The following is a 2,807-nucleotide window of genomic DNA, read 5'->3' as shown; positions in this document are numbered from 1 at the left end:
ACACCTGAACTGAACAACACGAGGCTTCCAGGTGTAATAATTTGTTGAAAGTAGAAAGCAGTTGATTCTTCATTATCTGCAATAATGAAGAAGGCCAAATATTGAAGATAAATAATGTCTTCAATGAATTTAAGGCTTTGATCCTACTTTATCATGAAGAAGAACATACTTTGGGTTTCAGATGCTGAATCTGAGGAGGAACAAAGGCATCACAGGCAAAGATACATCTCTACTTTCTAAGCAATCTAAGAGATTGCTGGCAATCTCTTTACAAGAAGTGTGGGTCCTGTTATGGGTCGAATTTTGTTCCCTATAAATTCGTATGTTGAAGTCCAAGCCACAGTACCTCAGAATGTGACCTTATATGGAAACAGGGTCTTTACAGATGTATTAATACAATTAGTTAAGATGAGGTCATAATGGAGTAAGGTGAGCCTTGTCTAATATGACTGATGTCATTATAAAAAGGAGAAATGTGGTGATAGACACAAACACAGGGAAAACTCCATGTGAAGATTGGGACAGAGATAGGAGTGATGTTTCTACAAGCCAAGGAATACCAAAGACTGCCAGCAAACAAGCAGAAGATAAGAGAGAGGCATGGAACAGATTCTTCCTCACAAATTTCACATGGAACTAATCCTGTCAACACCTTAATCTTGGACTTCTAGCTTCCAGAACTGTGAGACAATAGATTTCTGCTGTTTAAACCACCCAGTTTGTGGTACTTTGTTATAGCAATCTTACAAAACTTATTACTATTAAAAAAGTCTATGCCACAAACTATTTTATTTGATCCTTACAACACATATAATACAGATATAATTATTATCTCCATTTTAATTTGAGAAACTGTGGTTTGGAAATGTTAAACCGGTAAGTCATATATCAATTAAGTAGGGAGTTAATGCTTGAACCTAGGTTTTCTATATCCAATGTCTAGATTTTTTTTCATGATATGATGGGGTCTAAAAGAAAAAAATACAAACATTTACATTTTATAAAGGGTAGAATAATTCCTTTAAAATAAGACCCATACAATAAATCACACAGCTATCAAAAATAAATCTTACAGCTATTAAAAATGTGATATTGAAGAGGAAAAAGTGGAGGATAGGCTAGTGAAAATTCCTTGGGTTTCCTTTGAGGGGAAGAAGGTGCAAAGATAAATTGAGAAATAAAAGCTAGAGTAGAAACAAATAACAATGGTGGAGAATCAAAAAACAATGCAACAATTACATTGTGAACCCACCAAGGTATAAAACATTTACCTTTGTGAACAATAAATTAATATGTAAAGAAGAAGACGTTATGATTTAACAAAAGTAGAATAACAAATAAACTTTTAACATTGTACATTATTATTTCCAAGTCTAGTCTCTCCTTTGAATAGAATTTATGGCTCATTGCACATTAAATGACACTGAAATGGCTTAGGAAATCTTTGAATGTGTGTGAGTTTTGCCTTACTACAAACAAGAGCAGACTTTCAGGGGTCTGTCTAGAAATATTTGTATGTGAAAAGATCCCTGTTGGTAGGGAGTGGTCACATAAACCCAAAGGCCTGAATATTCAAAGCCTAGGAAGCCCTATCCAGATCCCACCTCCCAGCAGAGCTGCTAAAATATTTCCATGGCTATAATATTGAGCCAGTTTCCTGGGCCTCGAATGTTGCCCATCAATCAAACTTTCTCTAGACCATTTTTATTCCACTCTGCAAATGGCTATTTCATACATTCTCTGTCTTCCAAACTCTGCATCTCCTTCCTCATGCTTACCTTTAGCTCACTACCTTGCTTCCTATGTTGCCAAAAATGGAAACAATCAGAAGAGAACTTCCAAAAGCTCTCGCCATCTCGTCTACTCAGCTAGCTGCATCTGTGCCCATATATTTCACTCTTCTGTTACTAAGGTTCCTAACCAAAGCCAATGTCTTCATCTGAGTCATAGATCACACTTTTTCTCACCTATTTAAGGACATCACATCGGCAATTCTATCCCCCTCCCCAACTTGCATTATCAACTTTCCCCTTTCTTTTTAAATTTAATTTAATTTTTAAAATTTCCAGCTTATCTTTCCCCTTTCAATGAGATCATTCTTATCAACATAAAAACATGCTGTCATTTTTCTCATCTTAGAAAAAACTCTTACCTCCACTTCTCCCTGAATCTTCAGCCTCTACCTACCTCATTTTACAGTAAAACTTCTTTAAAGGATTGTCTATACTTGCTGTCTCTATTTTCTCATCTCTCTTTATCTCTTGAATCTATTCTAATCAGGTTTTTACCCCACAACTTTATGAAATTGCTCTTTCTGAGGTCAGTGACCTCCAAGCTAGCTGCTGATCCTATGGGATTTTGTAAATCCTCGTCTTAATTGACATATCTGCAGTTTTCCCCTAGATGATGACTCCTTTCTTTTGGCTTCCAGGACACTCCACTTGCCTGGTTTTCCTTTTCTCTTTCTCATTGCACTTCCTGAGTTTCTTTATGGTTCGTCTTCATCTTGGAGACCTCTAAATGTTGCAGTTCTCCAGGACTCTTTCCTTGGTCTCTTCTAACTACACCCACTCCTTGGGCAATCTCATCTGCTTTTACAACTTTACATAACATTTATACTCTGACGTCTTTAAATTTTTATCTCTATCTGGGAGCTCCCCTTTGAACTCCATAAATATGTCTTCAATTGCCTACTTAAAATTTTCACTTGGTTTTATTTTGGTTCTCTCAGAAGCAGACCCTAAAACAAGGATTTAATGCCAATACCTATTCTTTTTTTTTTTTTTTCTTGGAAGATAGAAGATATC

The sequence above is a fragment of the Homo sapiens genome, chromosome 1, assembly GCF_000001405.40.
Source record: "Homo sapiens chromosome 1, GRCh38.p14 Primary Assembly".
In the NCBI taxonomy this organism is placed as follows: domain Eukaryota; kingdom Metazoa; phylum Chordata; class Mammalia; order Primates; family Hominidae; genus Homo; species Homo sapiens.
Note: the sequence above shows the minus strand (reverse complement) of the source record.